Raw genomic sequence first — 27,160 nt, 5'->3', positions numbered from 1 at the left:
TGATATAGATCCTACGGCCAATTAGTTCACTACTTGTTGTGTGATTATGCAAAATGAGAGGAAAGATCTGGTCTTCCAGTCACATAACAATATGCCCAGGTATCAGCTGAACACATGCCACGTGCCTTACAGGGAGCCTCCTTGTCTACAAAACATTCAAAGACACAGTGCTTAACTACACTGGAAACTCAGCACAAGACTTCAGATAGTAATTACAGATATTCTTTAAAAAAAAAGAAGCAAATGTTCCAATTGCTTCTATTATATTTCCACATTCTCAGAGGCTTTCCACCATAAACATTTGTCATTTCTTTATGTTCTACAGTTGGTCCACAGTATAGCTCTGGGATAAATAATGGATTCTTGTAGGTTTTTCTACATGTGGATGAAGAGAAAGCATATTTGTATATAGATCTAAATGTCTGGGTACATCATCTTTCCACTTAATAACCTAGAAAATGGGAAGTGAAAAAAAGTAATAATGGTTATACTCAGCTGAAGAAAATCTTCCCATCACATCTTTATTATGTAACTTCAAATTATAAGGAGCACTCTTTTCCCTCCTGCCCATAGCACCAAGGCATTTGGCAGGACTGGGTCAGAGGTAGAACAGTGGTATCTTATAGTATTCTGTGATATACATGACATCACTGAGTGGCCAGTATTGCAATCCCAAGCTGATAACATTTCCATTCGAAAAAAGTTTTATGGTATCGAAATCACTGTCCACATATCTTAATAGCACCACACAGGAGAGCAGGGTTGATTTCATAGTAATAAATAATGACACTTGGCCAGCATCCTGAACAATGGGAGGTACCCCGCTCAATCAAACACTACTCACACATTAGAGGCCGAAACACATTCTTGGAACCCCTAATATTTAAGAACCCAACAATCTCCTTTCACTACTCGCCTTTAGATACTACTACTAAGTCTTAAGTTATATGAAATATTTTGAGATTCCTTATCTCCAGTTTAATACCTTGCTCATTTGGAAAAGGCTTCACCAAAGTGCTTTTATCTGACATCATCTGATGTCCACCACAGTCTTGGGAGGCTGACAAGGTGGGGATTACCATAGAAGACAAAACTGAATCCTTAACTGGGTTAAGACCCTTGACAGCACACATAACTAGAACCCCTGTCTTCTGAATCCTAGTTCAGCGAAGGAGCATTAATAGCAGAAGTGCCGGCACAAGGGCATAGATCAGTGCTCCTCCAAGTGTGGTCACTGGAGCACCTGGGTGCCGGCTCATGTGCAAATTCCTGGGCCTCAACCCTACCTATTAAAGCAGAATCTCCGGAACCCAGGAGTTTGCAATGAAGAAGTTCCCCAGTAACTAGCTGCACATTCAAGTTTGAGAACATGTGACACTGAGAATTAGAATAAATAGGAAAACAATTATATAAGCAACTGAGTTGATACCACATTCTGAGAGAAATAAGAGAAAATCAAAAGTTAGGGGTCGGACGTGGTGCCTCATGCCTGCAATCCCAGCACTTTGGGAGGCTGAGGTGGGTGGATCACTTGAGGTCAGGAGTTTGAGACCAGCCTGGCCAACATGGTGAAACTCTGTCTTCACTAAAGATACAAAAATTTACTGGGCATTGTGGCATACGCTTGTAATCCCAGCTACTTGGGAGGCTGAGGCAGGAGAATCGCTTGAATCTGGGAGGCAGAGGTTGCAGTGAACCGAGATCATGCCCCTGCACTTCAGCCTGGGGAACAGAGTGAGACGCCATCTCAAAAAAAAAAAAAAAAAAAAAAAAAGAAGAAGAAAGAAAAAGAAAAGAAAAAAGAAAAAGAAAATCAAAAGTGATGCTGGCTGTGAAATAATGTAAAAGTATGTTAAGGAGCAACAAGCATATTATCTAAAATCAAAACACTATAGTGACCAAAAATGGTATAAAATTTATTGGCTAGTAACACACAGTGTCATGTGAAGGATGTCTCACTTTAGAGATTCAGCTGGTTACTTAAATAAGTAATAATAGGTAGTATGTATTTAGCACTAAGTGCCAGAGACAATGATAAGCACTTTAAATGCATAATCTTACTTAGTCTTTACAAAAGCCCGATAAGGTAGGTATTATTATCCCTAGATTATACATATACACCAATGAGAATACCTGCCACAGGCACATAAAGTAGCAAAGAACTAGACTCAAACCAAGGTCTTGCTAACTCAAAACCCATTTCTTGAACTGTCAAGCTAGGCAGCTTCCCAAAATTGTATCAGTTGAATATAATGCATTAATTGAATATATTAGATGGTACACACTTTTAGTTTTCAATTAATCAAGAATTCCCAAGTCAAAGCCTCTTACACTTGTCACTAAAATTTTCTAGATCTACTTAATAGCTGGCTGTCACTGGATAGAGAAATTATTAATTTAGTCTGTCTAAAACTGGCCTGCTTAATATGATTTTTTCAATCCAGATTTAATAGTGCTACCGTCACTCCATGTTACCTAGTTGCAGGCCCACAACAGGACTGGGCCTTTTAATTACCTCGTTCAATTGTGTTTACTGACTGATTATAGTGATGGTTACATCTGGCCCTCTGCTTCCACGGTACTCTTCTGTTTAAGTCCAGGGGAACTGAGTAGACAGAATGATTGCTTGGGCTCCACCACTCCTATCCCAGCTGAGCCAGGCTCCTTAATTATGGCTCCCTTGGTTACAACTGGATCTCGGACAGCATCTGATAAGGGTGTAAGTGTGAGATGGTACCAGGGGCATTGAGCTTTCCTGCCAAGTTTAAGAATCCCCAACTTCCCCAACTGCTGGGTGGCTCTAAATGGAATACCTGTCTGTCCCGGAACCAGCGCCTGCCTGTAAAGCTGTGGAGACAACAGCAGCACCTTCTAAGAAGAACCACCTCATTTCTGCAGGACATTGTTGGAATCCCCCTAACTTCTTACCAGACCAGCAGTCTGTGGGCTGAGGTGGGCACATAGGTATGCTTTCAGCGCAGTGGAGAATACAATCTAAGTCACTGGTTTACTCCAAGCATGGTAAGAAACAGGCAAAGTTCCACATGAACAAATACAGCTCAAGATTATTACAAGAAGAGGAAAAAGCAGCTAGCAAAAATAGAACAAGACAATGTTCAGGAGCCTTCAGTGATTAAAAACCATGGGTCAATAAGGTTGACAATGTTTTGTGGGGTTTTCTGCAAATTATTGAAATATATAAGTAGAAATATGAAATGCAGATATCAAAAAAAGTATTCCTCTGTATCTTTTAGTTTGGTTCACCCCAGAGATGGTGCCTCGTTTGGGGCTCAACTAAGTCAAGGGAAGCTACAAAAGATTTAGCAAAGAACCACCAAATTTAAAAAACAAAATCTAAAAATTCCAAAGCCAAGGTGGCATCTTACATTCCATGCTTTTGATTCCTTCTTCCCATTTTCCACTGAAAGGAATGACATGATCAGTGAAATTCCACAGCATTATAGGAAACCAGGCATAAAACTTCAAGACGTTTTTCCTCAGGAAGTGGCACAGATGACAAGTGACAAAGAGCAGAGACCTGCTGAAGCATCCAAAAATCCAACGGGAAGTCTGCCAGAGAACAAGTAAGAGGACTTGTGTCTACCCTTCTCCTACTCCAGAACCCCCGCTACTATCTCCCAGACTAGAGAGGCATGAGGAAGAACGGACAGGAGAAATGAAATTAAATCATGGTTGAACAGCATGCTGTCCTGCCCACTCCTCACTATGACATAAGCGATCAGTGTATTCCTCCTGCAAACTCAGCACCCAATTATAGCCCGTTAATATTTTATAATGGTGATAATAATTTGAAGATGGTACTTAATTGCTCTTAAAATCTTCAGTCACTATTTTCACTGGGCATAAAAGTCCAAAATATGCCTAGCCAGTAAGAGCCAAACTGGGCTCTACCGGAGTTCCAGCCTGCCCGCCCACATACACACTTACAGCAAGTGGGCAACTCACAAGTGTGGCTGCTCTCAGCCTCTCAAAATTTCCATCTTTACTTCTCTAGTCCCCAAAAAACTTCCATCCATCAACCTAAGTCAATAAGCCATGAATTATTGAGCTTGCAGGATGCAGATCATGAATACGTATGTGCATGTTTGGAAGACAAGCTTGTAAAACAAATGGGCTCCACGGCGGCTTATATGAACCCAGCACACATGCCTTTAAGGAAATGGCTGAAATTATTCTACCCATGTATGTTGTTCAAGCATGGTTTCAGCACAGAAGAGATGGTGGAAAAATCAGTTTTTCTGGTAGACTTTTTGCTTCTGTCTTTCCAAGTGCTCTTGAATGGAATAATTTGTTGAATGAAACACAGCTGGCTGCTCTTTGCATAAACCAAAGGTGCAGGCTTTCTTTGTGGTCACAGTTATCATTGCGAATGCCTGTGAGCTGCCTGCAGAAGGGATGGTATGTAATTATCTTCCCTTCCATCTACCTCTTACTTCAGCACATTCACCTCGATGTCTCTACCTCTATCCACCAGAGATAGTCCCAAACTTTTGCCATAATTTGGTAACAATCTCTTTTTAAAAAGGAGCAAAACAACCCACTAAACAAAAGACTACCCTACCCTAGTTCACAAGACATTTGACAGAAATAATATGACTGAGCCTGAGGTGCTACTTATACAACCTTTTCCCATCCAAACAACCTAACAGTCCCCTCTTTCTAATCCTGCCAGATCCAGGACAAGCACTGAAGCCATCTTTGGCTGCAACTGCCAACTCTCTACGGGTCTCCCACCAGCCCAGGATCCTGAAACAACATATCTGGATGGAGATTTTCCCAAGCTAATGACAAAACCAATTAGACTGCTTCACTTGTTTTTGTCTGCTACAAACCTCATTTCCTGTTTCACATCAATTTTTGTATGATACTTGTTCTTAAACACAGAACCCAACAAAAACTCATTTTTATTTATTTATTATTATTATTAGTATTTTTTTTTTTTGAGATGGAGTCTCACTCTGTCACCCAGGCTGGAGTACAGTGGCGCGATCTCAGCTCACTGCAACCTCTGCCTCCTGGGTTCAAGCAATTCTCCTGCTGCAGCCTCCTGAGTAGCTGGGTCTACAGGCGCCCACCACCATGCCCAGCTAATTTTTGTATCTTTAGTAGAGACAAGGTTTCACTGTGTTGGCCAAGCTGGTCTCAAACTTCTGACCTCAGGTGATGTGCCCTCCTCAGTCTCCCGAAGTGCTGGGATTACAGGCGTGAGCCACCATGCCCGGCCCAAAAATTCATTTTTAAATTGGTAAGACCAAATTGAAAGTAATGAATATGATTTCATGCCAAAACTGCAAATTATTTTGAGCTGTTAGTTCATGTGGTGTCCAACAGATGTCACTGTGTTTCCCTCACAAACTGAAAATATCTCCTAGTACCCCTGTGAATTAATTGAAAAGCCCCAGGGCTCCTTGGTGCACTGTTTGGGAACCACAGATGCAGGCCCTTCCAGGGGTTTCAGGAAAGAGCAGGGAAGCAGGGTCAAATGCAAAATCACCTAACAATAGAAAGGAGCACGTGCTCAGAATAACATGGGCACCGAGAGCTGCCAACTCTAGGGAACAGAGAAGACTAGAACCTCCAATGTAAGGGACAGCTGCAGGAGGCTGTGGGATTTAGGCTGGTCTTTGAAGAAAGAGTAACTCTTGACCACAGAGGAGGAAGGAAGAGAATGTTCCAAGCAGAGAAAACGGACTGAGTATAGGAGAGAGGCCTTGAACCAAGAATGAGAATGGTACGGAGTCAGGGCTGTGACACAGCATGTAGACCAAGAACATTGTAGGAAGTGGAGCCACTTAAGGTTTCAGAGGAAGGATGATGTGTTTAGAAAATTTAATCCAGCAGTTTTGTGTGAGATAATCTGAAGAAAGAAGTTGCAGTAATGAGACCATAAGTGAAAACTAACCCTGGTCAAGATATGTGGAGATGAAGACCCAGAGTGACACTATTGGGAGAAGAAACAAAAAAACAGACTCAAGAACCTTGCAGGAAAAGGTTGGCACTATATTTGGGAAGATTAAGAGAAAAAATTCAAGGATGATTAAGAGTTCTATGCCAGGTAAGTGGGAAAAGTGATATTATTCACAAAAAGAAGGTATGCAGAGGATGAATTAAGCTAGCCTCGGGAGAAAGACATTATGAGTTTGCCTCCTGACATTTTAAGTTTGAGGAAGCAACAGGTCATTGAGATGAAGAGATCTAGCCAGTGGTCAAATACTCAGCCCCAGAGCTTTTTAGGCCATCTGTGCAGAGCAAGGATAGCAATCATGAGGGTCAATCAGTGCAGGAATAGTCCCTGAGGCATGCCCACATTTAGGGAAAGACAACATCCAGTCAGCAGAGCAGACAGACCCTAAGGAGAACTAAGAGAGTTCAGAGTGTGGCATCAAAGGGGGAAAAGAGGAAACCCGGGTCCAGGGAGTCAGAAGCCCCAGGGGTTGTTAATAAAGCGATTCTTTACAATCTCTCTTTTTTTTTTTTTCAGACGGAGTCTCGCTCTGTTGCCCAGGCTGGAGTGCAGTGGTGCGATTTTGGCTCACCGCAACCTCCACCTCCCAGGTTCAAACAATTCTCCTGCCTCAGCCTCCTGAGTAGCTGGGACTACAGGCACATGCCACCACACCTGGCTAGTTTTTTGTATTTTTTAGTAGAAACAAGGTTTCACCATATTGGCCAGGCTGGTCTCTAACTCCCGACCTCGTGATCCACCCACCTTGGCCTCCCAAAGTGCTGGGATTACAGGCGTGAGCCACCGCGACTGGCCACAATCCCAATATTTTTAAGCAAATGCTAAGTGCATTTATTAGCCTGGTGAGGAAAAAGCTGGGTATAGTCCTTAAGGGAGAAGCAGTCATCTCTTTTAGGTAGTGTAGAAAGGTTTTATAGCTAGAAAGCAGGACAATCCCTTATCTCTTAAATCTTGAATCACTTGTGTCTGTCTTTTTCTCCACACCTTTCCCTTCTCTTGAATCCCCTGCCTGTTTTCTTCTGTTCATCACCACACTACCCAGAATGCCAGTCCACACTAAGCGGCATTATTTTGTCACCACCAGATGGTTCCTGAGCCCCTTATCTGACTCCCTCTGCACTGCTTACTATGGATATCAATGTTCACCTGCCTTACAAATCACATTAGGGTCTTTTCTCAGTCCTCGTGGTCCCTCACCTCTTTTGGACATCACAGCTCTCCTGGCGTACTTTCATCCAAACACACTCCTCCACGCCCTCCCTACCTGCTCACCTTCAAGGTTCGGCACAATGTCACTCTCTCCCTCCCCACCTGCCCTGGCTACTTTCTCTGTCACAGCACTTAGTTTTTCTTGCTTAAATTAACATGTCAGTCTCCTGGGTCCCAGATTATAAACTCCATGGAGATGACAGAGTTTTTCAGCCACCTTCATTTCCCCATGGAGTCTGGCAGTACTTTGCACCTGGTGCACACTGACTAAATGGTCTTTGAACAAACAATATTATCCTTTTACTGCATATGAGATGGCAGAATCTGTCCTGCAATAGTTATGATAATACCTTTGCATATAACAGTATATGATTTTTCAGAACACACTTATATTTGATTTTCATACCCTGTAAGGAGGAAAGAGGAGGTCTACTATCCTCATTGTACAGCTATGGAAATGTGATATGATTTGCCCAAATCTCATCTTGAATTGTAGCTCCCACAATTCCCACATGTCGTGGGAAGGACACAGTGGGAGGTAAATGAATCATGGGGGCGGGTCTTTCCCATGCTGTTCTGGTGACATTGAATAAGTCTCATGAGATCTGATGGTTTTATAAATAGGAGTTTCCCTGCACAAGCTCTCTCTCTATGCCTGCCGCCATCCATGTAAGATGTAACTTGCTCCTGCTTGCCTTCCACCATGATTGTGAGGCCTCCCCACCCATGTAAAACTGTGAGTCCATTAAACTTCTTTTTCTTCCCAGTCTCAGGTATGTCTTTATCAGCAGCGTGAAAATGGACTAATATAAAATGTGACTCAAGGAGGTTGGAAGCTTTGCACAAGTTCACACAGCAGTAGTAAACAAAAGAGCCAGGACTAGAACCCAGATCTCTTACTCACAGTCTAATGCTCTTCCACTGCACACCCTGACTCTGTATAAATTCATGTAATAATAAGCCTGATTTGGTGATGGCTACCTATGCTTCAGATATTCCTTCATTTATTCATATCTAGTATGTTGTTAGCATTTCTACCCGTCACATTGGAGTCCAACTCTGATTTTAGGTTCCAGAGGACAAGGATCAATAAACAGAATGAGGCAGTAACTATAAGCTATAAAAAGTAGATTCACTAATGTGTTTCTAGAAAATTTTAAGCTGCAATTTACTTATGCATTAAACCCAAACACACTCTACAGGAACCATATCTACCTTCCAATTATTGCTCTAAGATGCTGATACTGGTAAATAAGCATGCTGATGGCTTCCAACGGCCCCTCTAAATCTACTCTCCACCTTTTCCACCTTGCCCTATGCCCCCCCAGTAGACCTGTATGGACCTTTTTCCCATGGTTCCCTTCCATATGCTTTCCACTTGGGTTCACCCAATGGGGTTCCAGCAGGAGACTGGAAGGAAGAAGAAGGAAACTTAGTTATTTATTCCCCTGACTCCCCTCTGAAGGGTTGCCTCAGGCAGGTTGTAACCCATGACTGAAGTTCATGGCTCTTATCAGGTGGGCCTCTCCACATATGTCTCTTTGACCCTTTACAGCACATTCAGACTTAGGGGTGGCAACTGTGGTAAACCTGCCCAGAATATGGCCACAAATTCTTTAATACTGCTACTATAAAGAGGTGGGGTCTTTGTCCTCTTCCCTTGAAATTGAGTGGTCTCTGTGTGACTATGAACAATGAAATATGGCATAAGGGATACTCTTCCAGGTTCCCCAGCCTTAGGAGACTAGCAGCTTCTATCTTTTGCCTCTTTGGCACACTCACTCTCGGAGTCCTTGGAGTTCAATCAGTACAGGAATCCAATTACCGGAGGCTGCCATGCTGTGAAGATGCCCAAGCAGCCCTGTGGAGAGGCTGTGTGGAAGGAGGGAAAGAAGGAGAGAGAGAGAGATCTAATCAGCCCCAACCTGTTCAGGCCCCAGCCTGCTGAGGCCCCAGACATCGCAGAGCAGTGATGAGCTGTCCCCACCATGTTCTGACTGCATTCCTGAACCAGAGAATCATGATTTATACTAATAACCAATGGCTGTTTTAAGTCACTAAGTTTGAGAATAGTTTATTATACAGTGCTAGATCACTGAAACAACACACTGTTGTAACCAGTCCACTTACTAAGCTCCCCTCACTACCCAGTCTGAATGCCATCTATTCCTTCTGGGGCCCTGACTAAATACATAACATATGACAAACATTAGGGCTGATAATCATATTCTAGACTTCTCTGCTTCTGAAAAAATGGCAGAACTGCACTTCGCCCTGAGGTCAGATGTGGCCTAGTGACTTGCTTTGCTTTAGACAATGAAATGTCAATAGAAATGATATGTGTTACTTCCAGATAAAAGCTTCAAGAGCCAGTGGGCCATTCACAAGGTTCTCTTCTCCCTGACATCACCTTGAGACCAGTGATATCAGTTCCGAATAGTGGAGGCTCTATCAACTTGGATCCCTGAGTGAGGATAACATGGAGAAAAGCTAGCTACAAATTGCTCAACCCACAATCAAGATGCAGTGATGATACAATGCAAAGATGCAGTGATGATGCAATGCAAAGATGCAGTGTGAACAAGAGACAAACATCTGTTATTTCAGCCCCTGAGATTTCAGTGCTGTTTGTGACTACAGCATAATCATCATGACTGCTACTATAAGCTCCTCTGTCAAGCTAATCCTGACCGAAATGCCCCCATGCATTAGGGGTCCATTTGAACTCCTGAATATTCTGTACACCAGGAAAGAGGTCTCTATAATAAGCAAATATATATAACCATCTTGTACACATCTATAATCAGAAAAACCATGGAAATCCATCTACCACGTTAGTGGCCTTGGAAATGCACCTTGCAGACTTCCAACTACAGGGAGCATTACTGAGCTGGGGCCCCTGCTGCTAAACTCTGGAATCTTCTCCACATTTGCTCTGAGGCTACACTTCCTACAGGTTGTTCCCAGCCAGTGACTGGAAGCACTGAGTATAGTAAGCATACTAAGGCAGGCCTGTTCCTGAGAGATGCAGGCCTCTAATAGCCTTTCTCAGACTTTTCAACAGTCTAGGACACTTCCAGCCAGCCTTCTCTGCCTCTGTCATCACTTGGGGTCAGATTGGTGTTGCAGTCTGAAAGCTCTCCCAGCCTTCCCCCATCTTGCTCCTATTTTCTCTCACACAGGCATTTCCCCAAATAAAATCCTTGCACATTCAATCCTATCTTGGCATCTGCTTCTCTGAGAACCCAGACTAACAGAACTATACCAATGAATATTCAGCCTTGAAAATTTAGCTTTGACAAATTAAACATACAGAGACAACAAAACTAGCTCTTGTTGAATAAGGGCCGTCCCATTTATCTGAAGTCATAAATAACCAGTTTTGCACAAAATCATATCCGTATCTATAGCTGGATCTAATTCCTATATTACCTATGTTAACATAGTATCATTTTATTTAATATGACTTTTACAAAGTATGATTTTGACCTTAAATTAAAAATTTATCCTTTCCCATATGTCCAAAATAGGCTTCCAATCCCTTATCTCAAACCCTGGAGACCATGTGTATTTTGGAATGCAAAACTTTAAGAAAAGTAATGTACATCTGCCATATTTGACAGAACCTCCCCCAGTGGGGCTGGGGGCAGCACCTATAATCAAATACATTACTGTTTTTTCTACACAACATACAAATATTAACACAAGTGAGTTAAAAGTAAATAGCCTCGAGGTGGTTCAAGTAGGGTTCAATACCAAATGAGTTCATCAAAAGTTAGGTTGTGAACCAAGTGAGTTGTAAGAAAACATTCAGTTTCCAGAGCTTTTGAAGTTTACGTTGTGAATAAGGAACTGTGAACCTATTCACACTATAGAAAACTATGCAGCCCCTTAAAAAAATCAGAAATCTCTGGTTCAGAAATGCTGCAGAAATATTGTTTAAGCATGAAATTATTTATATTATTTATGAGACAGAGAGAATAGGTTCACCTCTGTAAACTGCCTACGCTGATGGCAGGTAACTAAAATGTTATGCATAAGTTGAGAGAATGCATAAGGCTGAGAGAATGCACAAAGAAAATTTATTTAGGATACTAAATAAGCCTCATAGAATAACTAGAGGTGGCTGGCAAGATAGCAAAATAGGAACTACTCCAGTCTGCAGCACCCAGCAAGATCAATGCAGAAGGTGGGTGATTTCTGCATTTCCCATTGAGGCACCCGGTTCATCTCATTGGGACTGGTTAGACAGTGGGTGCAGCCTACCAACGGCAAGCCAAAGCAGGGTGGGGCATTGCCTCACTGGGAAGCTCGAGGAGTCGGGGAACTCGCTCCCCTAGCCAAGGGAAACTGTGAGGGACTGTGCCGTGAGGAACAGTGCATTCCAGCCCAGATACTACACATTTCTCATGGTCCACAACCCGCAGACCAGGAGATTCCCTCAGGTGCCTACACCACCAAGGCCCTGGGTTTCCAGCACAAAACTGGCCGGCCATTTGGGCAGACACTGAGCTAGCTGCAAGAGCTGTTTTTTTTTTAATACCCCAGTGGCGCCTGGAAGGCCAGTGAGACAGAACCGTTCACTCCCCTAAAAGCAGGGCTGAAGCCAGGGAACCAAGTGATCTAGCTCAGCAGATCCCACCCCCATGGAGGCCAGCAAGCTAAGATCCACTGGCTTGAAATTCTCGCAGCCAGCACAACAGTCTGAAGTCGACCTGGGACACTCGAGCTTGGTGCGGGGAGGGGCATCCACCATTACTGAGGCTTGAGTAGGCAGTTTTCCCCTCACAGTATAAACAAAGTCACCTGGAAGTTCGAACTGGACAGAGCCCTCCGCAGCTCAGCAAATCTGCTGTAGCCAGACTGTCTCTCTAGATTCCTCCTCTCTGGGCTGGGCATCTCTGAAAGAAAGGCAGCAGCCCCAGTCAGGGGCTTAGAGATAAAACTCCCATCTCCCTGGGAAAGAGCACCTGGGGAAAGGGGCAGCTATGGGCACAGCCTCAGCAGACTTAAACCTTCCTGCCTGCCAGCTCTCAAGAGAGCAGCGGATCTCCCAGCACAGCGCTCGAGTTCTGCCAAGGGACAGACTGCCTCCTCAAGTGGGTCCCTGACCCCTGTGCCTCCTGACAGGGAGACACCTCCCAGCAGGGGTCCACAGACACCTCATACAGGAGAACTCCAGCTGGCATCTGGCGGGTGACCCTCTGGGACGAAGCTTCCAGAGGAAGGAACAGGTAGCAATCTTTGCTGTTCTGCAGCCTCCACTAGTGATAACTAGGCAAACAGGGTCTGGAGAGGACCTCCAGCAAACTCCAGCAGACCTGCAGCAGAGGGGCCTGACTGTTAGAAGGAAAACTAACAAACAGAAAGGAATGGCATCAACATCAACAAAAAGGACGTCCACTCAAAAACCCCATCCGAAGGTCACCAACATCGAAAACCAAAGGTAGATAAATCCACAAAGATGAAGAAAAATCAGCACAAAAAAGGCTGAAAATCCAAAAACCAGAATGCCTCTTCTCCTCCAAAGGATCACAACACCTCGCCAGCAAGGGAACAAAACTGGACGGAGAATGAGTTTGACAAATTGACAGAAGTAGGCTTCAGAAGGTGGGTAATAACAAACTTCTCCAAGCTAAAGAAGCATGTTTTAACCCAATGCAAGGAAGCTAAGAACCTTGAAAAAAGCGTAGAGGAATTGCTACCTAGAATAACCAGTTTAGAAAAGAATGTAAATGACCTGATGGAGCTGAAAAACACAACACGAGCACTTCATGAAGCATACACAAGCATCAATAGCCACATCAATCAAGTGGAAGAAAGGATATCAGAGATTGAAGATCAACTTAATGAAATAAAGCATGAAGACAAGATTAGAGAAAAAAAGAATGAAAAGGAATGAACAAAGCCTCCAAGAAATATGAGACTATGTGAAAAGACCAAACCTATGTTTAATTGGTGTACCTGAAAGTGACGGGGATAATGAAGCCAACTTGGAAAACACTCTTCAGGATATTATCCAGATGAACATCCCCAGCCTAGCAAGACAGGCCAACATTCAAATTCAGAAAATACAGAGACCACCACAAAGATACATCTCGAGAAGAGCAACCCCAAGACACATAATTGTCAGATTCACCGAGGCTGAAATGAAGGAAAAAAATGTTAAGGGCAGCCAGAGAGAAAGGTCAAGCTACCCACAAAGGGAAGCCCATCAGACTAACAGGGGATCTCTCTGCAGAAACCCTACAAGCCAGAGGAGACTGGGGGCCAACATTCAACATTCTTAAGAGAATTTTCAAGCCAGAATTTCATATCCAGCCAAAGTAAGCTTCCTAAGCAAAGGAGAAATAAAATCCTTTACAGACAAGCAAATGCGGAAAGATTTTGTCACCACCAGGCCTGCCTTACAAGAGCTCCTGAAGGAAGCACTAAACATAAGAAAGAAAAACCAAAACCAGCCACTGCAGAAACATACCAAATTATAAAGACCACTGACACTATGAAGAAACTGCATCAACTAATGGGCAAAATAACCAGCTAGCATCATAATGACAGGATCAAATTCACACATAACAAATATTAACCTTAAATGTAAATGGGCTAAATGCTCCCAATTAAAAGACACAGACTTGCAAATTGGATAGAGTTAAGACCCATCAGTGTGCTGTATTCAGGAGACCCATCTCATGTGCAAAGACATACATAGGCTCAAAATAAAGGGATGGAGGAATATTTACCAAGCAAATGGAAAGCAAAAAAAAGCAGTGTTGCAATCCTAGTCTCTGATAAAACATACTTTAAACCAACAAAGATCAAAAGAGACAAAGAAGGGCATTACATAATGGTAAAGGGATCAATGCAACAAGAAGAGCTAACTATCCTAAATATATATGCACCCAATAAAGTAGTACCCAGATTCACAAAACAAGTTCTTAGACACCTACAAACAGACTTAGACTCCCACACAATAATAGCGGGAGACTTTAACACCCCACTGTCAATATTAGACAGATCAATGAGACAGAAAATTAACAAAGATATCCAGGACGGACTTCAACTCAGCTCTGGACCAAGCAGACCTAATAGACATCTACAGGACTCTCCACCCCAAATCAACAGAATATACATTCTTCTCAGCACCACACATATTCTAAAACTGACCACACAATTGGAAGTAAAACACTCCTCAGCAAATGCATAAGAACGGAAATCATAACAGTCTCTCAGACCAACCACAGTGCAATCAAATTAGAACTCAGGATTAAGAAACTCACTCAAAACCACACAACTACATGGAAACTGAACAACCTGCTCCTGAATAACTACTGGGTAAATAATGAAATTAAGGCAGAATTAAATAAGTTCTTTGAAACCAATGGGAATAAAGACACAACATACCAAAATCTCTGGGACACAGCTAAAGCAGTGTTCAGAGGGAAATTTATAGTACTAAATGCCCACAGGAAAAGGTGGGAAAGATCTAAAACTGACACCCTAACATCACAATGAAAAGAACTAGAGAAGCAAGAGCAAACAAATTCAAAAGCTAGCAGAAGACAAGAAACACCTAAGATCAGAGCAGAACTGAAGGACATAGAGACATGAAAAACTCTTCAAAAAATCAATGAATCCAGAAGCTGGTTTTTTGAAAAGATTAACAAAATAGATAGACTGCTAGCCAGGCTAATAAAAAAAGAAAAGAGAGAAGAATCAAATAGACACAATAAAAAATGACAAAGGTGGCTGGGTGCGGTGGCTCACACCTGTAATCCCAGCACTTTGGGAGGCCAAGGTGGGAGGATCATGAGGTCAGGAGATCGAGACCACACTGGCTAACACGGTGAAACCCTGTCTCTACTAAAAATACAAAAAATTAGCCAGGCGTGGTGGCAGGCGCCTGTAGTCCCAACTACTCCGGAGGCTGAGACAGAATGACATGAACCCAGGAGGCGGAGCTTGCAGTGAGCCGAGATCGCACCACTGCACTCCAGCCTGGGCAACAGAGCGAGATTCCATCTCAAAAAAAAAAAAGACAAAGGGGATATCACCACTCATCCCACAGAAATACAAACTACAATAAGAGAATACTATAAACACCTCTACGCAAATAAACTAGAAAATCTAGAAGAAATGCATAAATTCCTGGACACATACACCCTCTCAAGACTAAATCAGGAAGTAGTCAAATCCCTGAACAGACCAATAACAAGTTAACTAATGCCTACCAACCAAAAAAAAGCCCAGGACCAGACAAATTCACAGCCAAATTCTACCAGAGGTAAAAAGATGAGCTGGTACCATTCCTTCTGAAACTATTCCAAACAACAGAAAAAGAGGGACTCCTCCCTAACTCATTTTATGAAGCCAGCATCATCCTGATACCAAAACCTGGCAGAGACACCACAAAAAAAGAAAATTTCAGACCAATGTCCCTGATGAACATCGATCTGGCAATGCCGAATCCAGGAGCACATCAAAAAGCTTATCCACCACGATCAAGTCAGCTTCATCCCTGGGATGCAAGGCTGGTTCAACATATGCAAATCAATAAACCTAATCCATCGCATAAACAGAACCAATTACAAAAACCACATGATTATCTCAATAGATGCAGAAAAGGCCTTCAATAAAATTCAACACCCCTTCACGCTAAAAACTCTCAATAAACTAAGTACTGATGGAATGTATCTCAAAATAATAAGAGCTATTTATGACAAACCCACAGCCAATATCATACTGAATGGGAAAAAGCTGGAAGCATTCTCTTTGAAAACTGGTACAAGACAAGGATGCCCTCTCTCACCACTCCTATTCAACATCATAGTGGAAGTTCTGGCCAGGGCAATCAGGCAAGAGAAAGAAATAAAGGGTATTCAAACAGGAAGAGAGGAAGTCAAATTGTCTCTGTTTGCAGATGACCTGATTGTATATTTAGAAAACCCTATCATCTCAGCCAAAAATCTCCTTAAACTGATAAGCAACTTCAGCAGTCTCAGAATACAAAATTAATGTGCAAAATCACGAGCATTCCTATACATAAATAATAGAAACACAGAGAACCAAATTATGAGTGAACTCCCACTCACAATTGCTACAAAAAAAATAAAATATCTAGGAATACAAGTTACAAGGGATGTGAAGGACCTCTTCAAGGAGAACTACAAACCACTGCTCAAGGAAATAAGAGAGGACACAAACAAATGGAAAAACATTCTATGCTCATGGATAGGAAGCATCAATATCATGAAAATGGCCATACTGCCCAAAGTAATTTATAGATTCAATGCTATCCCCATCAAGCTACCATTGACTTTCTTCACAGAATTAGAAAAAACTACTTTAAATTTCATATGGAACCAAAAAAGAGCTTGTTTAGCCAAGACAATCCTAAGCAAAAAGAACAAAGCTGGAGGCATCACACTACCTGACTTCAAACTATACTACAAGGCTACAGTAACAAAAACAGCAGGGTACTGGTACCAAAACAGATATATAGACCAGCGGAACATAACAGAGACCTCAGGAATAATGCTACACATCTACAACCACCTAATCTTCGACAAACCTAACTAAAACAAGCAATGGGGAAAGGATTCCCTATTTAATAAATGGTGCTGGGAAAACTGGCTAGCCATATGCAGAAAACTGAAACTGGACCCCTTCCTTACACCTTATACAAAAATTAATTCACGATGGATTAAAGAGTTAAATGTAAGACCTAAAATCATAAAAACCCTAGAAGAAAACCTAGGCAATACCACTCAGGACACAGGCATGGGCAAAGACTCCAGGACTAAAACATCAAAAGCAATGGCAACAAAAGCCAAAATTGATAAATGGGATCTAATTAAACCAAAGAACTTCTGCACAGCAAAAGAAACTAGCATCAGAGTGAACACGCAACCTACAGAATGGGAGAAAATTTTTGCAATCTATCCATCTGACAAAGGGCTAATATCCAGAATCTACAAGGAACTTAAACAAATTTACAAGAAAAAACCCCACCAAAAAGTGGGCAAAGATTATGAACAGACATTTCTCAAAAGAAGACATTTATGCAGCCAAAGAACATATGAAAAAAAGCTCACCATCATTGGTCATTAGAGAAATGCAAATCAAAACCACAATGAGATACCATGTCACGCCAGTTAGAATGGCAATCATTAAAAAGTCAGGGAACAGCCGGGCGCGGTGGCTCACGCCTGTAATCTCAGCACTTTGGGAGGCTGAGGCGGGTGGATCACAAGGTCAGGAGATTGAGACCATCCTGGCTAACACAGTGAAACCCCATCTCTACTAAAAATACAAAAAATTAGCCAGGCATGGTGGCGGGCGCCTGTGGTCCCAGCTACTCAGGAGGCTGAGGCAGGAGAATCGCATGAACCTGGGAGGCGGAGTTTGCAGTGAGCTGAGATCGCACCACTGCATTCCAGCCTGGGCGACAGAGTGAGACTCCGTCTCAAAAAAAAAAAAGTCTGGAAACAACAGATGCTGGAGAGGATGTGGAGAAATAGGAGCACTTTTATACTGTTGGCGGGAGTGTAAATTAGTTCAACCATTGTGGAAGACAGTGTGGCAATTCCTCAAGGATCTAGAACCAGAAATACCATTTGACCCAGCAATCCCATTACTGGGTATATACCCAAAGGATTATAAATCATTCTACTATAAAGACACATGCATACGTATATATATTACAGCACTATTAACAATAGCAAAGACTTGGAACCAACCCAAATGCCCATCAATGATAGACTAAAGAAAATGTGGCACATATACACCATGGAATACACCATGGAATACACCATGGAATATGCAGCCATAAAAAAGGATGAGTTCATTCCTTTGCAGGGACATGGATGAAGCTGGAAACCATCATTCTCAGCAAACTAACACAGGAACAGAAAACCAAACACCGCATGTTCTCACTCATAAGTGGGAGTTGAACGAGAACACATGGACACAGAAAGGGGAACATCACACACCGGGGCCTGTCAGGGGGCCAGGGGCCAGGGGAGGGATAGCATTAGGAGAAATACCTAATGTAGATGACGAGTTGATGGGTGCAGCAAACCACCATGGCACGTGTATACATATGTAACAAACCTGCACATTCTGCATGTGAATCCCAGAACTTAAAGTATAATAAAAATACAATAAAAATAAATAAAGAATTAAAAAAAATAATGCTCATGTCAAGGCAGTGGACATGGAGTATAGGAAACACAGACAGGAGTCCCTCCAGTGGACCTGAGCCCAGACTTCTCGGTATCACTCCCCATACCAAAGGGGGAAATACAGGAAATGGGATATGACTGCTCTCACTGGGAACCCCTCAAGAAACATCCAGTTCTAGACTTCTTTGTTCATGTGCTTCTGATTTCCTGTCCTGCCACTCATGAAATGGCTCCTTTCTTCATCAACCACATAAGGAGCCAAGAGCCAGAGGAGAGGCTGTTCTCCTTCCCTGGCCTGCTCCGTCCCTAACCCTATTCATCCTACATGATAAAAAAAAAAAAAGCAAACCAACAAAAAACAGACAGAGAACAGGGAGAAAATTAATTAAGAAGGAAAAAAATTCATCTTTGTTCTCCCTAGTTGCTATATAGCCCTGAGACAAATTGTCTGCAATGGATACAAGTTAAGGAATCTTAATTAGGGGTTGGAAATTCAAACCTAATACAGTAACATTCGCTTCTCATTTTACATATTCAGCATTGACTCTTTTTTATTTTTATAATAAGCATGTATTAACTTTATGGCTTTAAACTTTAAATGTATTAACTTTATGGTTTCAAAACTCTCATATTTTAATTATGGGCACAACTGAGGATATTACATAATATATGTAAAGAGCTAGATCAAATGTTAGCAATTATTCTCTTACAAACCACTGTCTGGGAAGGTACTAAGTGCCAGCACTCTGTTGGCACTTTAACAAGCATTCCATTTGTGTGTTGTTTCTTCAGCCTCCTAAGTCTAAGGTACTGTGCTCAGCATTGGAGATATCCCAGTGAATAAAACACATGTGATAATATGCCATAACTGAAAGCACGCATACCACTGTGGAGAAGACATTAAGCAAGCAATAGCACATGTAATGATTTAACTTTACCTGTACTAAGTGATATGAAGAAGTAGTGTGTGGTGACCAGTAAGATCCTCGTAACAGCTCTCTGAGGTGGCTTTCATCCTCAATTATGAATAAAGAGCTATCACTAATGTCTGTAACACTAAAGTGTGCTAATCATAATAACATAAAATTTCCTGAACAAATAGTAATTATAATAATTATCACTATTATAATAATGACAGGAAATGTTTATGTCAATAGGTCATTGAGGAAAAGGATGGAAATAAATGAAGAAGAAAGTCTAAATGTGTGAGAGCATATATGGATAATTACTGCCAAAGAATTTCTATAGCACTCTTGTGTTCCTCCGAAGAGGAAAATTCTTCCATGCAGAGGCTTAGAGGTCTTCAATGCAAGATACCCATTCCATCCCTGGAACAACAGAATACTGACAAACATAAAGTTAACCTAGAAACAAATACAAGTTCTGTATTTTCCAGAGTTAATCCCTTATTTTCCAACAGAGATCTAATTTCACAGACTTGGTTCCTTTGTGCCCATAAACTACTAAAATAACATGGAAACCTCAGTATTTTTATGTTTAAACCACATCAAAGATGACCTCTTGAACCTAGAAATAACATAAAAATCCAATTCAAACCAAGTACCCTGTTTGGCTTGGAAAACATGGCCACTATGCTGGAGAGGCACTAAATAGTAAAGGATGAACATCTTCTGTCAAGATCTGCTCTAAACCAGAAACCTCATCAGCTTGGATGGCAAGGTTTCAAAGTTGCCATAATCAAGTATTTTTGGATTCTGTAAAATAAAAGTCCATAGAAATTGAACTTCAGGATGCAGAATGGTGGGCATTCCATCAAAACAACATATGATCAAGTTGCTCTTTGCTTCTGTCTCTGCTAGAGGTATGATTCCAAAATCTTGACAAAGATCCCCTGAACTAAATACTGCACACGTCTCTTTACTTAGTGAAGGAAAAACAGAAAATCAGAATTCTAGGCCTAGGAGTGTCTCCTGACAGCTCACAATGGAAAAGATATCAGTTGATTTATTATACAAAATGAGAGAGTCATAAGAAATTCAGTTGTGCTAATGAGACAGCCAACATTTGATGGGACCTTAATTTGGCTCCACTTTAATTTTTGCTGTCACAAAATTGTTACAATAAAAAATTATGTTTTATTAAGTAGATGGCAAATCTATGGCACTTGTGCTACCACTGCTCCTCTCCATGCCCACAGCAGACCTTGCATTCTCTATGACAGACTCAGCCTTGGAGAACATCTTGACAGTTCCAAGTTGCCACTGCCCACGAAGTGAAACAGGCAGAGTCAGAGTCTATCTGCCAATGTTCCTTTAGGCTGACTATCCTACTTGACACTCACAATACTGTATTCTATGACACCAGATAGAACCATCAGTTTAAGCTGTGGCCATTTTAATACCTGTGTTTGATATTGCTAAGAAATATAGACGGAATGAAAAGAAAAATCAGGCTAAAATCACCATCAAATCAATTACACTGTGTTTACCCTCCTCAGTGTCCATCACTTGTATTATAGAGACAGAAGATTACATGAGCCAATCACTGACCTTATGGAGAGCAGGAGCCAAGACTGGTACCAAAAATCCATTGTAAATGTAATTGACAAGCTGATTTCGAATCAAGGGGTGAGCCACCTGAGAGAGAGGCACATAGGCATGAAAAAGGCAAAGAGTTCAATCTTCAGTTCTTAAAATAAAACAATTCTGTGTACATCCTGAACTCAAAAAGGAAATCCACATTTTGGCCATTTATTCTGTGATTAAAGAACAAATCAGACCTCATACTGTCATATAAGCCTTTCAAATAGCTTATTCCAGTATAAACACCTTGGTTAAAATCCGCAGAAGTTGAACTTTCAAACATAATATTGGTAATTTTAAACTGCGTATTTGGAAAAAAGACAATAAATAGACTGAGTATGTATAAGGATTCATACTTACACATACCATATCCAGTGTGTTAAACATATCCAGTTTGTTAAAGTTAACAAACTGGAAAGTATAATTTTTGCCCCTTACTTTCTTCTAAATCACATCTCAACCTGTAACTAATTTTAAAAACTGAGTATAACTGTCAAAACAATTAAATACATTTATTTTGCTAGCAGAAAACATTTCCTCATTTTAAATATGTATTTCCTGATAGTCATTTATATTAAAGAAAAGGCATTTAAAAATATTTTCAGAAAAATAGATAATATTCAAAAGCGGAAAACATTATCAGAAGTACAATACTTCTCATATTTGATTTCCAAAATATATTTAGTGTAGATAACCCTCTACTAATATCTTTCATAAATAACCTTTTCAGTAGCTTCCCCAAACAAAAAACCTTAAAAGTATATGGTTTCGATGTCAAAATGCAGTATGAAATAATATAATTTCCCTGTTCTTACCATGCCCATTAGCTTTATTTCTCTTTCTTTAAAAAAAGAAGAAAATGAAAAAGAGAAAGAAAGTCAAACAATAAAGTAAAAAGCAATTTCTAGGAAAGTGAAGCTAGATCTTCAAATTACTGATAATCTCTCTGTGTGTATATATTTTTGGGGAAGAACTAATAGTAGTTCCATCTTTTTTATTTCCACAAACTTCTGCAAGAAAATGTTGATAGGTTGATAGACTGCAATATTAAAGGAAAAAATAAGATGTAATCCATTTTTCTTATATATAAATAAAACTTTCTTTGACTTAGCAATAAAAATGAGATGGAACTAAAATAATTTACTTGTATTTTCTTCCAGAAGCTATTTCTTTATTTGGTAGATAAACAGATTATAACTAACATCTTTCATCCTACAATCACTATAAAGAAAACTTGATTTCTTAGGAGATATACCTAATGCTAAATGATAAGTTAATGGGTGCAGCACACCAAAATGACACATGTATACATATGTAACAAACCTGCACGTTGTGCACATGTATCCTAAAACTTAAAGTATAATAATAAAAAAAAAGGCCGAGAAAAAAAAAGAAAGAAAACTTGATTTCTTAATAAATCTAATATTAAGGTAATATTTATGCTATATGGAACTAAAATATTTTTTATGAAAACTTACCACATCCTTAAATATACTTAAAATCTGATTTTTATTGAAAACAGTAACAACAAATCTAAAGGTAAAAATCTAATCAAGAAGCCAAATACACAAGAATTCAGTGGTTGCTTTTTTCCTCTCCCAAACAGGACAATTTCAAAGAGAATTTAATTTGTGTTGCAATGAAAATGCTTAACTTCTTCTAAATTCAATCAGGATAACAATATTCTTTATGTAGTATGCGCCATTAAGCAAAATAAAGTGTTCTCCTTTGTAAATTCCCAAGAAGACCTTGAAGTAAAAGCGGTATAATCTGGAGTACTTAGAAACCTAAAAATAATCTATTTAATGAGTCAGGCATTGAACTTATTTTTGATGGTTAAGTAGATAATCAAAACAGAATTAATTTATAAAGAAGATAAAGAAAATCTACTCATTTTTTTTCTCAGTTAAAACTTCCAGAAACCTACAAACTAACATTTTCACTCATTCAAGGACATTCAATTGGCTTAAAGCACCAATATTCCATAAACATTTATTAACATTTTAAAAAATGAACGTTTTAAAATTAATCCTTTGCAGTGCTTGTGCTCTGAATGAAGCCATAGCAAAGGGATCCTTTATTGTGCTCTGGTACCTGTATGACTGCATTGCAAAACTCCAGGGAGTTCATGAACTGGACAAGAGAAGGAAGTAGAAGCCAGTCATCTTTCAGAAGGCAGTGCCATTCCTCGCCTTTCTCTTCTAGCTTTGTAGGCAGGGAAGAGTAGAGACCACTGAGCCCAGTTGCAAGTACCTGTGTTCAGAAATAAAAACAAAATAAATGCTTTTCCAAAGTTCTCAACCTGCAATTAACAGCTCACAGGTGATGCCAATGCTGCTGGTCCCAAAACTATATCTTTAAGTAGCAAGGTATTAAAGGTATAAGAGCCCGTCAGCCAGCTAAAAACGATGCAAACAGGTGAAGACAGTAGGGAAGGACAACTCTGGCAGAAGGAATGGCAATATCAGAACTATCTGGCTAATATACACATGGTTGGTATGGGTTGCTCATCTCTCATGTGCCAGGCACTATGCTGGGCTAGGTGTAGGAGGAGTACACGCAAAGATGAATAAAATATTATTCTGGCCTCAAGAAGTTCAGGAGAGGAACAAATTCATAAACAGTATCCTATAGTACAATACATCAAGTGCAAATACAGAGAAGGCACATACCCCAGTCTAGAGGAGAAACTCCTGTTTTGAGGTGGTCCAGGACAGAAAGTCACATACATTGGAACCATGAGCTTTATGGGAAAGATTCCATGCAATTCCTTGCATGCTTGAGGTCACGACTGACAGCTGCATGTTTGCAGTTTACAAAGCACTTCCACGTATATTTTCTCATTTGATCTTCACAAGCAATAGCAAGGAGAAAGAATTGGGGGTCAGCAATCAGTTAGTTAGATGTGATGACAAGATTCAAGCAGAGATAAAGTGAGTCTACACGGAGGCATCAGCACTAGGAAAAGAGAGGAGGAAATAAAATTTGAGCATCACATGGAAGGTGAATATGAGGGTGATCTAACCATGACATCTATCGGTCTGGCATTAATCCAAAACTCTTAGGGCTTGCTTCCTCCCTTAGTGTTCTGGTCCTTAATTTAAATTGACAGCCTTTGGGCTTGGTAAGTGGGGTAAGAACTCAAAACTGTCAACTTACCCAACTTGGTCACCAAGAAAATGGTGATGCCTTTAATAGAGACAGAAATGTAGGAAGATTACATACTTAATGCTGAGTGCTTGTTGATTTTACCTTGTGGAATATCAAACCAGGGATGCAATGAATTTCATAGTACTGGAGGCCTCCCAGCTGGGAAGTGATACTGACTAAGCAGCAACTTGGAGATCCTGACTTGCTAGATATGTATAAGATGGCCAGGGATGGCACAGATTGAATGCAAAGGAGCCAGCTATGGGGCCAGGGGTGGTGGCTCATGCCTGTAATCCCAGCATTTTGGGGAGCTGAGGTGAGTGGATCACTTGAACCAGGAGTTTGAGACCAGTCCGGCCAACATGGCGAAACCCCGTTTTTACTAAAAATACAAAATTTAGCTGGGTGTGGTGGCACAAGGCTGTAATCCCAGCTACTCAGGAAGCTGAGGCAAAAGAGAATCCCTTGAGCCTGGGAGGCGGAGGTTGCAGTGAGCCGAGATTGGACCTACTACACTCCAGCCTGGCCGACAGAGCTGGAGTGCCTCGAAAGAAAAAAAAAAGCCAGCTACAAAAGGCTTTGCTCTAGCACAAACCCTGAGGTGACAATGGCCTCGAATGAGATGGAAACATTCAAGAAAATATAATGAGGCAGGCCCAGAAAAGAAATAGTGACATACTCATTGATCTCACTGTCTAATGAGAGATTAACGGGCAATTAAAACAGTGTTAGAAATGCTCAGAATACATAATAGAAAATATATGGTGTTGTGGATTTACAAAAGACTCTTACTCAGATTTCGAGGGTTGGCAGCAGGAAATATTCTCAGAAGAAGTGATATCTAAGCTGGTGAAGAGTACGTAGGAGTTAGCCAGAAAAAGAGTAGGGGGAAGAATATTCCAAGCAGAGAAAACAGCATATACAAAAGCTCAAAGGAGAAAGAAAAGATGGTATTCTCCAGGAACTAAGAGAAGCACAGTATTGTTAGAGTGCAGAATTACAGGTAGAAAGAGGCTGGCAAGGTAAACGGGAATCAGATCCTGCAGGGTTTTATAGGACAACATGAGGAGCGTGTGGGGCATCCAAATGGAGAGCCCAGTATTCAGATACGTGGGGCTGATGCTTAAAAGAGAGCTCTGGGCTAGAGACGGAGCCATCAACATGTAGATGGGACCTCAAGCCATACGAACCAGACAGAGAAGGAAAGGGAGATTTAGACAGATGAGATATGACAAAATAATCCACAATGCCTGGCATCACAAACAGAAAGTCAGAAGGAGGTGTGGGCCTAGGTATGTTAAACTTGGAAAAAAATTATCTGTAGACCTATTGTTGCCTTCCTTTTCCCCTTGTCCTGTTCCCACAGCACTCTCTGTATCCCTCTGTGTAGCAATCATCTTTCTTGCATGTATTAGTGTATTGCCTATCTTCTCCATCTCTCCTGGTCTGACTTGTTCATTCAAGTCCACACTGGAGGTATGGATGATTTGTCCAGTCAGGTATGTTGAGTTTCAGATGTTAACATGGAGAGACCATATGAAGTCATGGGAGGGCCTAGGAGGGGTTGGGGAGATGGTATAGGAGCCCCCAGTGGAGTATAAAGAACAAGAAGACAAACAGATGAACCATTTCAGTACTAGAGAAATCAAAAAAATAATATACATTTCTCTGTTCTATTTCCTGGCAACCTTTAATCATTCATTCATTTACTTATTCATTAAAAAAAATACCAAACACTTATTTCAGGCCAGGTACTATGTTAAGTACGGAAAATACAACCGTAAACAAGACAGTACATTTATCTCTTTTTAAAAAATCAGGGCATCTTTGGTCCCAAAGGAGAATGTCCCCTATTTAAAGTGAACATACCCATACAAATCACTTTAATTCCAGTTTTGAATGTGACCCAAATGAGTTGCTTCTTATAAATTAGAAACCTCTGGCAAAAGAGAACAGAGACCAAAAGTTCTCCTCGAAGAGAAATCTAATCTTGATGCCACATTTTTTTAAATCAATTACATTTGCTAACTCATGCTAAATTAACCACAGAACAAAGGCTTTAATTCTGCATACTCCTGAATTCTTAACCACTTTGAGGCTCTGAGGATGAATTCATAAAGACAGGCTTAATTTGTCTGACTAAAAAGCTGGGAATAACTACTCAGTATATCAATATAATTATAGCAACATTAATTTTCAAATTACATACATCAGTGACAGTAATTAAAAATAACACATATGTAATATTCACTTTTTAAAATGAATATTGTGAAAGGGCATGGCTGAGATGTGAGCAGAAGCCTGCCCATCCAGAAGGTAGTCCCTGTACAGAAGGATACTCTCTATGCATAAGGATACTCCCGGAACAGAAGGACATTGTCTGTACAGAAGTGACAGCTGAATAAGAAGTCCTGCCATGTTCCTGCCACTACAAAAAGTGCCTCTGCTATCTCCTTCAGAATGGCAAAGAAACAGGGGAGAAAATATTCTGCGGAATAAAGAGTATTACATAGTCTTAGAAACAAGATTCTAAATCTTTATGGTATTTATATCCTCCCTTCCTAGACTGCGCTCAGAGTTCAGATTCATTCACCCAGACTGCACATATTTCTAGAACACAGACTGTGGGTCAGACATATGCAAGATTGGTCCTGGGGAAAGAGTAGTGAACAAGTTGGACCAGGAAAGATGGAGAAGACGGCTGATAAACTAATACAGGCAAGAAAGATAATTACTACCCAAGGGGATACGGAGTGCTGTGGGAACAGGATAAGGAAAAAGAAAGATTCCAACAGGTCTGTAGCTAACTTTTCTAGGTTAAGAGATGAATAGCACATTCTATTTACTTTTAAATTTCATTTTTTAACTTAGAATTAAATTATTAAAAGTTTAAATATAGATGTATTCAACAGCTCATTTAAAATAAAATTCCCATCCACTATTTTAGCCTTTCATTGATTCTTGGATTCCCATCCACACACACAAAAAAATTGCAAAACATTCTATTTATTCCCAACACATTAAGCATTAACCCATTTTTCACTTATTTGCACTTATTTTTCACTTATTTTCCCTCAAGAATCTCTTTAAAA

General features: G+C 40.7%; 1 protein-coding gene across 9 annotated transcripts in view; it reads right to left on the bottom strand.

Annotated features, from left to right (window-relative positions):
• Positions 1 to 27,160, bottom strand: part of FHIP1A (FHF complex subunit HOOK interacting protein 1A) — a 261,328-nt gene that overhangs the window by 60,692 nt on the left and 173,476 nt on the right. For all 9 annotated transcript variants that reach the window (XM_024454201.2, XM_047416127.1, XM_011532221.3 and 6 more), the window contains 2 exons: positions 23,013 to 23,171; positions 20,886 to 20,972 (listed from right to left, as the gene is read on the bottom strand). In XM_024454201.2, coding sequence (XP_024309969.1) covers positions 20,886 to 20,972; positions 23,013 to 23,171 — 246 coding nt within the window. The remainder of the gene's footprint in view (positions 1 to 20,885; positions 20,973 to 23,012; positions 23,172 to 27,160) is intronic.

Source organism: Homo sapiens, chromosome 4, assembly GCF_000001405.40.
Source record: "Homo sapiens chromosome 4, GRCh38.p14 Primary Assembly".
Classification (NCBI taxonomy): domain Eukaryota; kingdom Metazoa; phylum Chordata; class Mammalia; order Primates; family Hominidae; genus Homo; species Homo sapiens.
The sequence above is the reverse complement of the archived record's forward strand: the minus strand, read 5'-3'. Positions and strand labels throughout refer to the sequence as shown.